This window comes from Homo sapiens, chromosome 22 (genome assembly GCF_000001405.40).
Source record: "Homo sapiens chromosome 22, GRCh38.p14 Primary Assembly".
NCBI classification, from domain to species: Eukaryota; Metazoa; Chordata; class Mammalia; order Primates; family Hominidae; genus Homo; species Homo sapiens.
Window position 1 is genome coordinate 35,313,464 of NC_000022.11, and position 12,249 is coordinate 35,325,712.

Sequence of the window (12,249 nt, forward strand, 5' to 3'; positions counted from 1 at the left end):
TTGTAGCTCGGTTACTCATTGCTAGCCTTTCCTGATGTCATACTGACATTGTCTGGCTGCAAGGTCACAACATCCTGTGAGGCAGGCAGTCTTATCCTGATTTTACGGGTGCAAAAACAGAGACTCAGAGGGGCTGGATCTTTGCCCACATTCTATGAGTTAGGTCAGGCCAGACTCGTCCCACTCCACCCTCATCTCCATGAGGGGCAGGTGGGTCTTGCCATCATGCCAGGCAGATTATCTGGAGCCCTCCAGGGAGGTGGTATCTGCACCAGACCCAATAGGGAGAGGACAGACTGCTGTAAGGACGCACAGGTGCCCAGTGATCCGAAGCCACAGGCTTGCCAGCCATAAACAACTGCAAAGCCGCCTGATGACAGGTGGAGGATTGCAGGGCCCGGTTCTGTCAGGAGCTGGAAGACAAGAGCACAGCTGCTACCCGGAGGCCCTTGAAGGTTACAGCTCCGAGGTCGGGGAATCAGTTGTCATTCTCTTGGTAACTGGCAACCACTGTCCGTGTTTTTATTCCCCCTTCTTAAAATAGCAAGCTGAATTACTTCTGTGGTGAAGAACAAAAACAAAGCAAATATTGCCAGGTTCCTGTGGGTTTAAAATTCTGCCCTGATGGAATATGCCTACCCTGTGGGCATCTGAAGGAAATCCACATGATTCACCGCAATCCTGTTGTCCACACCTGGACCTGGAGGAACCTGGAGGAACCTAGAAGGGGTTGGCAAGTGATGGTCTGGGCAGATGTCCCACAGCCTCCCAACAGCTGTCTTGTACTGGAATTGCTCAGATCTGCCTTGTCCCGATTTTGTCTCCTCCTCCTCTTCCTCTCCCCTTTCTCGTTTAGGCCACATATCCCCTCCCACCCCGCAGAAAACCTCCGTCTTCTGATTGGCTCTGCCCACTACTGCCTGCTGCCACTCATGGCTCAGGAGCTTGCCTGCACTGCTTGGGTCACATCAGACTCATGCACGGGGTGGGGGCGGGGGGTCCTTCTGCTCCCACCTGATTGCCGGGTATGGGATTTCTCTTATTTATCAATGTCCCCGCTTCCCTTTAAAAGCCACTTACTTGCCTTTCCAAAACAACCACAGCCTCTCCTGAAACACTGATGTTCCCTCCTCCAGGAGATGAGAGGTGCCCATCGTTTTCAGGGGGTACTGGGGACAGAAGAGGATCTGATGGTGGGGACCACTGAGAGGCCTGCCGGTGGAGCTCAGGGAGGAGAGGGCCAACTCCCTGTGTGGTCAGGAAGGACACTTCTGGGAAAACAGTGTTCCCCGCCCCTGCTGAGAGATGCGGATGGCACAGAAGCCTCAGGCACCTGCGCCACAGCGTCAGCGGCTGCCCCGCCCTTACCTCTGTGTGCCCTTTGCAAGTTGGTGATCTCTCTGTGCTTCAGTTTCCTCATGAGATGAGGGCAATAATGCACACCTTACAGTGTGTTAAAATTAAATCTCATTCTTCATGTGAACAGCTAATGCTGCTTGATATTCTATGGCATATAACTTGGGAAGTTAAAATATTATTATTGTGGAAGGGCATGCAGGCCAGGTCGAAGACTAGGGAGACACGGAAGGATTTGGGCAGGAAGGACACTGTCATTTTCAGGTTTCAGAAAGTTCCTTCTGGACAGTGTGGAGAATGGGTGGGAGGAGGGAGGCAGGAGGAGGGAAGAAGCTGAGGCGGTAGTCTAGCGGGAGGATGGTGGCCGGGCTGGGGCAGGGGCAGTGGCAGAGGGGATGGTGTGATGGACAGAGATTTGGGAGCTGACTTGGCAGGACTTCGTGGCCTTTAGGTGTGGCTAGGGAGGGAGATGACACTAATCCTCTGGCCTGTGTGACTGGGGCTTGCTGAGATGTGGCCTGTGGCAGAGGAGCAGGTTCTGTAGGTTAACACTGACTGACATGACTAACCCCCGCCCCAAAACCCTCCAAAGCAGGGCACGGCCCTCTGCTCAGAGGGACACTTGTTTGGCCCGCTCTGTTCTTCCCAGGTGGCTCTATAAGTGTGGAACCCCCAAGGGCAGGGGTGTGGTACAAAGAAGCCACACTCAGTAAACCTTCACAGGATGGACAACTCTGTCTCTCAGCCCTGTCAGAGGAGCTTTCCTCATCCCCTCCTCCAGGCCTGATCTAGGGGTAAAGCAACCGCCCTCTGCCTCAGCCGCCTGGCATGTGTCCTGGGCCACCCTGGCATCCGTCTGGCTCAGGACCTGAGGGTAGAACTGAAGTTGGGCCAATTGCAAAACCAAGGTCTCAGAGCCACAGTTTTAGTGTTGGTTGAGCCAGCCTGGCTAGAAGAGGGCCCTGTCCAGTCCCGCAGAAACTGCCCTCCTCTGTCCTCCGGCAGACTGGGTTTAGCAGGCACTGTGGCTTCTTTTGGGCACCTTAAAGCAGGGACCATGCCCACCGAGTCCACCATGGTATCCCAGTGCCTGGAACCGGCTTGGCTTACAAATAGCCGTGTAGCAAGCGAAGAGTCACCCACCCTCCCCGAGCCGGGGCACAGCCGTGAGGAGAGAGCCTCCCTTGCAGGACAGCGTGACATCACGTGGAATAACAAGTTCTACATGCCTACTCTGGCACACACTCCTGACAGATAATAGACAGCCGGCAGCACTGTGCTCAAGTGCCTGGCCCATCAGCCAGCAGGTGTGCCAAGGCCGGCAGGGTGGCTGCAGCAGGCGGATGAGTACTTTGCATGTGACACTTGCAGGGGAGGGAACCTTGGGTAGTGCCCTGTGTCAGAACAGGGTCTCACCCTTAAAAGGCGGAGCAAAGCCTGTCTTATCACACAGTCCTCCATGTAGTCACAATACATACCAGCCAGAGTGATGTGTGTAATGGAACGTTACCTGCAAGAAACAGGGCACAAAATTTCCTGTGTGCACGTGGTTGACGCGTGAAGATAGCATCTAGGAAGGCGCAGAGAACAGAAAACAGGCCATGCGGCACCTCCCTTTCCTAAAGACCGTTTACAAAGGTGCTGGCATTGCGAGTTCCTGCGTTCATCATTCATGTAATACCAATTAGTGCCTCCCACACTACAGTTCACAAAAGGCTGCCAAGCCCGGTGCTTGCTACCATGCAGACCTGCAGCCAGTGGTCCCGGCCATGGCCCTGACAGGCTTCCAGAACTCTGCAGCCGACTCCCGGCCTGGAAATCTTACCCTAGGAACTGCCACAAAGTGAAAATTTCGTGGAACTGAATAGAGGTGGTGGTGGTTGTATTCAGTATTACAGGTGTACCAAATGCCACTGAATTATACATGGTAAAATGGTTAGTTTTATTTTATGTGACTTTCGCCTCAACTTTTTTTAAAAAGAACCACCACCACTTGCTGAGTGTTTATTTTGGGCCCGTACCGTGCTGATACCTTGCCGTGCTGATACCTTACTGTGCTGGTACCTTGCATGAATCATCACCTCTCTTTGGGGTAGTTCTGCTGGGTGGCTCGGCATCGGTCCCTTCTGTGGGTGCCTCAGAAGGGTACAGGAGGGCCAGGTGACCTGTTAGTAATGGAGCGTTTGCTTCCTAGGTAAAGAAGCTCTCTGTGAGATTCTAGAGGAACCTGGTTACAGGGGATGCCTCTAGGAAGAGGGGGCTGGGGCAGGGGACAGAGATAGATTTACCTAGCTCCATTGTATACCACTTGAGAACTTTTACATTTTGTATCCTGTGAATGGTTACCAACTCAAAAGATAATTCTTTTTTGCTTGTTTGTTTGTTTGTTTTGGAGATGGAGTTTCGCTCTCGTTGTCCAGGCTGGAGTGTGATGGCTCAATCTCTTTGCAACCTCCGCCTCCTGGGATCAAACGATTCTCCTGCCTCAGCCTCCCAAGTAGCCAGGATTACAGGCATGTGCCACCATGCCCAGCTACTTTTTTGTAGTTAGTAAAGACGGGGCTTCACCATGTTGGTCAGGCTGGTCTCAACTCCTGACCTCAGGTGATCCACCCACCTCAGCCTCCCAAAGTGCTGGGATTACAGGCGTGAGCCACCGCGCCCAGCTCAAAAGATAATTCTAAAGTCAAGGGAGAACATCTTATCTACAGAAATGAAGCAAAGCACTGTCTCCATATTGTCATGTCAGGAATAAGCACACGGAGGCCCACCTAGATTCCCCTCTGGTGCATCCCTTTGGTGCACTCAGAGTCATGGTTTCCTCATCCATTGAAGAGCAGAGGTACTCCGGCCTCAGTGGCTACAAGAATCTAGTGACGATGGGACAATGTGTATAGAGCAGTCTCACACAGGGCCAGGCCCTGTGCCCAGGAAGTGTCTGTCATCTTCCTCCTCCCCATCTCATCCGGCCCTGCACCCCCCTCCTCTCCCACCCACGGTTTGAGTTTACCCATTCAGGACCCCCTCATGACTTTATGACTCCTGGTTTCTTCTCAGAGAAAGCCACAGATGGCTCCCTGCAGAGCGAGGACTGGGCCCTCAACATGGAGATCTGCGACATCATCAACGAGACGGAGGAAGGGTAAGGGCCCCCCAAGGAGAGGTTGGGGGCAGAGACGGCCATCCCACCACGCAGCACACTCCTGCACCCTTCCAGGGAGCCCCTGCCCCAGCCCCATTGCTGCCATAGCCACCAAGTCTGACCCAACCCGCTTGGCTGCAGAGGCCATCTGAGCCCCTAGTACCTGAGCCCCATCCAAGGTAGGAATTCACAGCTGGCCCCTGGGGGCTGCCACCCCACCCCGCCTCTCTTAGTGGCAGCCCAGATTCCACACGGATCTGGAAGCCCAGCCTTGTGTGCAGCATCTGCCTAGGATGAGGCAAGCTGGAGACTCTTAATCAGAAGTTGACCCCAAGCGCCATCTGCATTCTGCAGGCGGGAGTGTGTACTAGAGAGACTCCGGCTTTTCTGCGAGCAAAAACAGACTTCCATTTCCTTAAGATTTGAAACCAGCCTGGAGGGTAAGGGAGATCACAAGGATGGCAGGGAAAGTGAAGCTGAACCGTGAGCCTGAACAGCACTGGCGTTTGCCGGGCGTTTCTGGTGTTGGGGTCACGGTATCGTCTTGCTCAGTGCCAAGGAGCCCTGCCAAGGCACATGGTGTGGGGGAAGGATTGGGGTCTTGGCCTCCAATGTCTGACTCGTTGTCACTGACCAGCCGTGTGACCTTCGGAAGTCACTTTACCTCTCTAGGTCTTTGTCCTCGAAGGTGCTCTGTTAGATCCTTCCAGCAATAAGCCCGAGTCCCTGGAGGGAGCAGAAAGGGGATGCGAGGGTCCCTGTCCTCTCAGGAAAACCCAGCGAAGGCTGGGCAGAGGTGTGGGAGCCGTGGGCAGCAGGAAGTGCTGCCAGACGAGGCCTCCATCCTGAGAAATCAGTGTGGACCCTCCTTTCCCTCTCCAGTTCTCACTGGGATCATCCAGCTCTCCCGCGGCCAGTGCAGGGTTCCTCTCAGCCCGGGAGGGCTTTGCGTGGAGAGGCGCAGGCTGGATGCAGGTGGAGGGCAGGGAGTGCCCAGCTCTGAGCTGGAGGGAGGCTGTGGGCATCTGAGTCACACAGTCAAGGCCCAGTCAGGAGAGGGCAGTGGCTGCCAGGAACCTGCCGGTGTCTTCCTCAGCCCTGCTCCCTGATCTTGCCAAGGACTCATGAGAGTGAGGGTGAGGGAAGGAGTGGTGGGCAGAGGTCAGAAGAAAGAAAGCAGGAGGCAGAAAACCTCACCAAGCCTCTAGACAGGCCTGGGAGCTTCATGGACGTCGCAGCTGCAAGTCACTGCAGTATCCTTGGGGACAGCAAGCCCCCATGTCCCTTATAAACATGGGAGGAACAGGCTCGGCGTCGGTCAGGTGCATTGCTATTTATTTGAGCACTTTGTGTGTTCCAGGCAACACAGGAGGCACTAGGGACCCAGCAGTGATCAAAGGCAGGCATGACCCTTGACCTCACCAAGCATGGCACCTAAACTTAGCCTCGTTGCTAAAGTGTCTCCCCCACTGGGTTGTGGCCTCCTTGTCATACACTTTGTGCTCCCAGCAGAGTACCGGACATCATGGGCCCACAGCAGTGGCAAGGCCAGAACTTCCGATTCCCAGTGCTTCCCTCTAGGGAGAGAAGGCGTCCAACAAGGACGCTGTCCCTGCGCTCTAGGAGGCTTCTTCTCTCCCAGGGTGGGCCCCCAGGTCAGTGGCGCATGGCGGAACATGCCAGGGAATGATTCTGATTCCCTTGTGTCTAGGCCACCCTAGAAGAGGTGGAAAGAAGTCACTATAAAGCGCTGAAGTAGCCCGTGGGTCAGTGGCCAGGCCAAGACCAGGAGCCAGGGACGGGCGAGGGGCTGCCCAGGGAGGCAAGGGTTGGAAACTGCTCTCAGGCTTCTGGGCCAGGACCCCCCTTGGTGGGCCACCATCCCTTTCCCCACCGTGTCCCTTCCACCGCAGGCCTGACCGCCTCCATAGCTCTAGCCCCCAGGCAGGCTCTGTCCCTAGGAAGCCTTGCCTCTGCCTTCACTCCTGCTGAGAACCAGTGCCAGGGTTCCAGGCTCTCCTGCCTTAGTCCTGGATGGGGTCAGCACTGACAGCCAGGCAGACAGCCGGATGGGTCCCAGTGGCCACTGGCCAGGCTGAGAAATGTTACTTGTGCTTCAGTAGTGTGATGGGCTCTAGGAAGGGAAGCTGTCCAAAGAGAACACCATCCCTGCCCTCTAGCAAGCTTCTTCTCTACCCAGGGTGGGCCCCCAGTTCAATGTGGCATGGCAGAACAGGCCAGGGAGACTGGAGGACCTGGGAAAGTGTTGTGGAAGGGGTGGATTTTAGCTGAGGCTTCACCTCATGGATGTGGAGGTCAGGAGCCTTCAGGGTGCAAGTGGGGGCCCTGCACAAAGGCTTTTAGACAAGAGCAGTCAGGGCAGCACTGAGTATACCTGTATAGGGCCGAGGGTGGAGGATGGTGGGAATCACAGAGGGGACAGGGAGAGCAGGCTGGCACCCCAGCTTCCAGGGGCCTCCCAACACCGTGACCCCTAGGCTTCTTCAGCCCTCCCCGACCTCCCCCACACTCAGTGTGGCCTCCTCTTAGTTCCTCCAAGGCATCAAGCTCCTCTGCACCCAAGACCTTGGTCCAGGCTCTGACCTTGACCCAAACTGCTCTGCCCCCACTCCCCCCAGGTGGTCCTTCCCATCTTTCAAGGCCCAACTACAAGACCACCCCCTCGGAGGTCTTTTCTGACCACCCCCATCCTCACCTCTGCTCTTTTTCCAGGACCTGCTTATTCCTTGCTCTTCTTTGGATCTCCCCGCAAGGTGGGGAGGAGGCAGGGCCATATGGTCTTGTTTGCCACTGTGTCCCCAGCACCTAGCATGGTGCTACATACATATTGGGTGCTTAATAAGAGTTGAATGGGCCAGACATGGTGGCTCACACTGGTAGTCTCAGCGTTTTGGGAGGCTGAGGCAGGAGGATCACTTGAGCCCAGGAGTTCCGGGCTACAGCGAGCTGTGATTGCACCACTGCACTCCAGCCTGGGCGACAGAGTGAGACTCTGTCTCAGAAGGAAAAAAAAAAAAAACTTGAATGGAAGGGTAAATGGACAGATAGAGCAGCTGGCCAGGACGGGGCATCAGAACACTATGCTAGCTGGGCTCAGGGACTCATGCCTGTAATCACAACATATTGGGAGGCCGAGGTGGGAGAATCATTTGAGCCCAGGAGTTTGAGACCAGCCTGGGCAACATAGCAAGACCCCATCTCTATTTTTGTAATGAAAACATTATGCCTCCAGGTTATTTGTTCTTAAACTTGAGCATGCATAAGAAACCCTTGGGGAGCATGAGAAGCATTCAGATTCAGGGGCCCCACTCCCTGAGAATTTGGTTCAGGTGGTCTAGGGTGGGGACCTAGGGTTCTGCTTTTTTTTTTTGAATGTCCTTTGTTTTTTTGAGACAGGGTCTCACTCTGTCGCCCAGGCTGGAGTACAGTGGCGCAATCTCGGCTCTCACTCTGTTGCCCAGGCTGGAGTACAGTGGCGTAATCTCGGCTCACTGCAACCTCTGCCTCCTGGGTTCAAGCGATTCTCCCGCCTCAACCTCCCAAGTAGCTGGGATTACAGGGTCATACCACCACGCCCGGCAAATTTTTGTATTTTTAGTAGAGACAGGGTTTCACCATGTTGGCCAGGCTGGTCTTGAACTCCTGGCCTCAAGTGATCCACCTGCCTCAGCCTCCCAAAGTCCTGGGATTACAGGCATGAGCCACCGCGCCCGGCCAGGTTCTGCACTTTTAACAAAACGCTCTCATCTTTTCTCAAAGTGACTCTGCTGCTGGAGGTCCAGGGGCCACAGGTTGTGAGTCCCTGCTAAGCAATGGGCTAGGAAGATTCTGATGTGATCAGAACCTGGCTGGATACACAAAACAGGTGGGGCACAGGGAGGATGGGCCAATAAGAACTGTTCCAACTCTCCAGGGTCTCTGGTGTTAGGTAAGGGGGCTCTATTCCTAAGCCCACCCTTTTTCTTGTCCTCCTTAGTCCCAAAGATGCCCTCCGAGCAGTAAAGAAGAGAATCGTGGGGAATAAGAACTTCCACGAGGTGATGCTGGCTCTCACAGTGAGTGCCCCATCTGTCTGTCCTGTGGCAGGACTACGGTCCACTGAAAGTCACCTCCCCTCAGACCCAGCAGGACTCCCAGCCTCCTCTGAGCTCCTCATTTGAGAGCTGGAAAGGTCTGTAGGCAACGCACTGTCCTGTCTACACTGCAGGCGGATGCAGAATGGCAAGAGGCCATTTGGAAAGGTTCTCCCCAATCCCCCAGCATGGGAACAGACGCTTACATCACTCCAGAACCACTGGCAGGGAGAGCCTGGGCCAAAGGACCTGTGGGTGACATTGAAGCTCAGTAAACCCAGGCCTCCGCGGGGGCAGGGAGGCCGGCTGACTGAGTTGGGTGCTGCTCGGCACTTTGGTGCTCTGGCAAATGAATGTAAAATAAATACCAGTGGCTGAGAACAGTCTTGCCCACACCACTGAACCAGCCCAGATCTCAGGGCGGCCAGACACACGTGGGCCTCCTAGCCGTCAGCATGGGTTTGGCTGGGGAAGATATAAATGCTGTCCCACCCTCCTCCACAAGCAGCATTTATATCCAGGTGAATTGGCTTAAGCAAAAAGCAAAGGCAATTCCTGCAGTGGGAAGTGGAGAGTGGGGAGGGAAGTTCAGTGCCTTTTCCCTGGGCCACAGGCTCACCAGTCGATTGACATCTCAGATGCTCCTTGATTTCCTCTTGGAGAGCCCCTTCTCTCTAGACCATGTTTAGCTCAGAGACAGCATTGGGATTCTGCGTGCACTGACGCCAGTCAGGGAAGGAAGTCCAGCCCACACACCATACCTCTGCCCACCCTAGGCCGTGCCCTCCAGTAAACAAGTCCCCCAGTCCTGGCATTGTCCCAGTCCTCCACATTCAAGGGTCTCACTCCAGGAAGTCCCATCTCCTCTCCCGGGCCTCCTCTCTGGGACACAGGAGGAGCCACGAGGGTGGGGGTTCTGAGCACCTCCTCTCCTCTGACCAAGGTGCTCGACGGCACCTCTCGGCCCTCCAGGTCTTAGAAACCTGTGTCAAGAACTGCGGGCACCGCTTCCACGTGCTGGTGGCCAGCCAGGACTTCGTGGAGAGTGTGCTGGTGAGGACCATCCTGCCCAAGAACAACCCACCCACCATCGTGCATGACAAAGTGCTCAACCTCATCCAGGTGAGTGCCAGGACAGGGCAGGGCACGGCCAGGAAGAGCTGTCAGTGCAGGAGCTTCCTGCCCAGTGGAGAGTCGAGGCCATCGTGTTTGTCCCAGGCTCCGCTTCTCATTTCGGGGCGTCTCGGTTGTCGGCTGGTGGGATGTTCTGTGGGGAGGGAGGCTTGCCAACTGCGTGCTTTGCTGTGGAGTGGGCAGGGCAGATGTAGTTAAAAAAAAAAAAAAAGCAGGGAAAGAATGTCTGTTCTCTGTCTGAGTGCCAGGTGGGCAGGCTCACAGGTGAGCTGTGGTTACCGGCTGTGTCCCCTTGTCCCCTCTCAGTCCTGGGCTGACGCGTTCCGCAGCTCGCCCGATCTGACAGGTGTGGTCACCATCTATGAGGACCTGCGGAGGAAAGGCCTGGAGTTCCCCATGACTGACCTGGACATGCTGTCACCCATCCACACACCCCAGAGGGTGAGAGAACTGCCGTACCGGGAACCAAGGGAAGGGAGGCAGGACTCATCCCCAGAGACATCACCAGGCTGGCCCCTGACTTCCTGGGCTCTTGATGTTCCCAGGAGCCCTCACTGATCCTGTTTTCCTCCCACTAGACCGTGTTCAACTCAGAGACACAATCAGGACAGGATTCTGTGGGCACTGACTCCAGCCAGCAAGAGGACTCTGGCCAGCATGCTGCCCCTCTGCCCGCCCCGCCCATACTCTCCGGTGACACGCCCATAGCACCAACCCCGGAACAGGTAAACGAGCCTGGGGTCAGAACCGTCAGGTCCAGGCAGGTGGGCCACACACGTCAGGGAGGGCCCCCTGTCAGAATTTACCATCCACGGAGCCTCCACTTCTTCCTCACAGCAGCCCACAGGGTATGTGTGGTTCTTCCTGTTTGAGCGATGAGACTCAGAGAGGTCCATTCACTTGCCCAGAGCACACAGTCATCAGAGACAGTTGGGATCCAAGCTCACGTCTGTCTGACTCCTGGCAGGCACTGCCCTGTACCTTGGCCATTTTCCAACCTGTGTTTTCTGCGGGGCCCTCCAACAGCACCATGGAGAGGTGTCCTGTACGCAGCCCCTTCAGGCCAGCTCCACCTGTGTGGTTTCTTACACACTCACAGCTTTCATTTGAGCTGGGCATGGTCACGTGCGTCTGTGATCTTAGCTTCTCAAAGGTTCAGGCAGGAGGATGGCTTGAGCCCAGGAGTTTGAGACCAGGCTGGGCAACATAGAGAGACCTGTTTCAAAAAAAAAAAAAAAAAAAAAAAAGGCTTCATTTGAAGAGAGGTTCTGCCTGAAAAGTTTTCAAACATCTGTGCAAAAAATAAAAAACATATGTACATTGTACCATGCTGCTTCCCATGAAGTCTCAAGAAGGTCTGAAGCTTTTTTGTTTGTTCTGAAACAGTCTTGCTCTGTCACCCAGGCTGGAGTGCAGTGGCACCATCTAGGCTCACTGCAACCTCTCTCTCCCAGGTTCAAGCAATTCTCCTGCCTCAGCCTCCTGAGTAGCTGGGACTACAGGCATGAGCCACCATGCCCAGCTAATTTTTTGTATTTTTAGTAGAGATGGAGTTTCATCATGTTGGCCAGGCTAGTCTCGAACTCCTGAGCTCAAGTGATCTACTCGTCTTGGCCTCCTAAAGTGCTGGGATTACAGGCATGAGCCACCACACCCAGCCAAGAAGGTTTGAGGCTTAGTATGAGATTCTAGGGGACAGGTTTTCCCAGCCCTCTGACTAGCTTTGAAGGATTACCCACCTCAGAGCAGGTGGCACCCTGGGCATGTCACTTCCTTCCTCCTCATGGCCCACTGGGCCATGAGCTGCTTGTGGAGTGCCATGGCTGCTGTATCTGCTGAGTGACTTCTACAGCCATGACCAGCTCGTAGAGCTGGGGGCTTGTCATTCTAGACTTTTGGCTGCTGGGGTGGGGGCAGAGGCCTGCACACTGTGGAGACACCCACGTTAAAGGTGTTGTACACACATCAGGCCCATCACATCCGCGGAGCGTAAAGGTGGAGCTGCTGAGTGTGCTGGTGAGTTAGACACGGATGTGTGATGGAAAGAAAAGTGAAGCTTAACTTTCCCAATAAGCGTCCCCACTGCCCACTTTTTGTATCATTTGAACTCATTCTCACCCTAACCTATTTGAAGAGAAACTTCCATGATTTGTTTTCTCATAGCAAGTTATGAAATCACCCCTCAGAGTTACAGATATTACTAGAAAATTTTGCTAACTGGACAAAATTATTAACGCACTGCCCGTTTGCCCCAAGAATACTCTTGTCTCTAATCCTAATGTAACCTCATATACATTTCTGTTACGTTAGGATTGGAGACAAGTTCTGTTTAGAAATAACTCCAAGAACAGTTTTTATGTTTTATTTTCATGTTGAAAATCAGTCAGGTTTACTTCAGCCTCAAAGAGCATGTTTATGTAAAATTAAATGAGTGCTGACAGCGAGCTGCACTTTTTTTTTCTGAGTGGGTTAAAGGTGTGTAAAAAATTGTAAAACCACCTTGTGATTGTCTAACTCAGTTAT

The 12,249-nt window shown here is 54.3% G+C and overlaps 1 protein-coding gene across 12 annotated transcripts in view, besides 6 other annotated features; it reads left to right on the forward strand.

Annotated features, from left to right (window-relative positions):
* TOM1 (target of myb1 membrane trafficking protein) overlaps window positions 1-12,249 on the forward strand; it is a 48,699-nt gene that overhangs the window by 14,189 nt on the left and 22,261 nt on the right. For 3 of the 12 annotated variants that reach the window (NM_001135729.2, NM_001135732.2, NM_005488.3), the window contains exons 2-6: window positions 4,414-4,498; window positions 8,496-8,574; window positions 9,565-9,714; window positions 10,033-10,167; window positions 10,305-10,451. In NM_001135729.2, coding sequence (NP_001129201.1) covers window positions 4,461-4,498; window positions 8,496-8,574; window positions 9,565-9,714; window positions 10,033-10,167; window positions 10,305-10,451 — 549 coding nt within the window. In that variant the 5' untranslated portion in view covers window positions 4,414-4,460. Of the gene's footprint in view, window positions 1-4,413; window positions 4,499-8,278; window positions 8,385-8,495; window positions 8,575-9,535; window positions 9,715-10,032; window positions 10,168-10,304; window positions 10,452-12,249 lie in introns of those variants that run through there. The other 9 variants (XM_047441068.1, XM_047441069.1, NR_156428.2 and 6 more) reach the window with 7 other exon arrangements.
* Window positions 388-487: an enhancer, noted in NCBI's record as "active region_18899". NCBI's record gives its function as "activates an Ori minimal core promoter by ATAC-STARR-seq in GM12878 lymphoblastoid cells {active_cell/tissue: GM12878}" and the evidence as "EXISTENCE:reporter gene assay evidence [ECO:0000049][PMID:35858748]".
* Window positions 4,095-4,596: an enhancer, noted in NCBI's record as "H3K4me1 hESC enhancer chr22:35713551-35714052 (GRCh37/hg19 assembly coordinates)". NCBI's record gives its function as "activates a minimal SCP1, AML or CMV promoter by ChIP-STARR-seq in primed H9 embryonic stem cells {active_cell/tissue: H9 hESC(primed)}" and the evidence as "EXISTENCE:reporter gene assay evidence [ECO:0000049][PMID:30033119]".
* Window positions 4,597-5,096: an enhancer, noted in NCBI's record as "H3K4me1 hESC enhancer chr22:35714053-35714552 (GRCh37/hg19 assembly coordinates)". NCBI's record gives its function as "activates a minimal SCP1, AML or CMV promoter by ChIP-STARR-seq in primed H9 embryonic stem cells {active_cell/tissue: H9 hESC(primed)}" and the evidence as "EXISTENCE:reporter gene assay evidence [ECO:0000049][PMID:30033119]".
* Window positions 5,132-5,632: an enhancer, noted in NCBI's record as "H3K27ac hESC enhancer chr22:35714588-35715088 (GRCh37/hg19 assembly coordinates)". NCBI's record gives its function as "activates a minimal SCP1, AML or CMV promoter by ChIP-STARR-seq in primed H9 embryonic stem cells {active_cell/tissue: H9 hESC(primed)}" and the evidence as "EXISTENCE:reporter gene assay evidence [ECO:0000049][PMID:30033119]".
* Window positions 5,633-6,133: an enhancer, noted in NCBI's record as "H3K27ac hESC enhancer chr22:35715089-35715589 (GRCh37/hg19 assembly coordinates)". NCBI's record gives its function as "activates a minimal SCP1, AML or CMV promoter by ChIP-STARR-seq in primed H9 embryonic stem cells {active_cell/tissue: H9 hESC(primed)}" and the evidence as "EXISTENCE:reporter gene assay evidence [ECO:0000049][PMID:30033119]".
* Window positions 9,467-10,666: an enhancer, noted in NCBI's record as "CDK7 strongly-dependent group 2 enhancer chr22:35718923-35720122 (GRCh37/hg19 assembly coordinates)". NCBI's record gives its function as "activates an origin of replication core promoter dependent on BRD2, BRD4, P300/CBP, MED14 and CDK7 cofactors, with strong dependence on CDK7, by STARR-seq in HCT116 cells {active_cell/tissue: HCT116}" and the evidence as "EXISTENCE:reporter gene assay evidence [ECO:0000049][PMID:35650434]".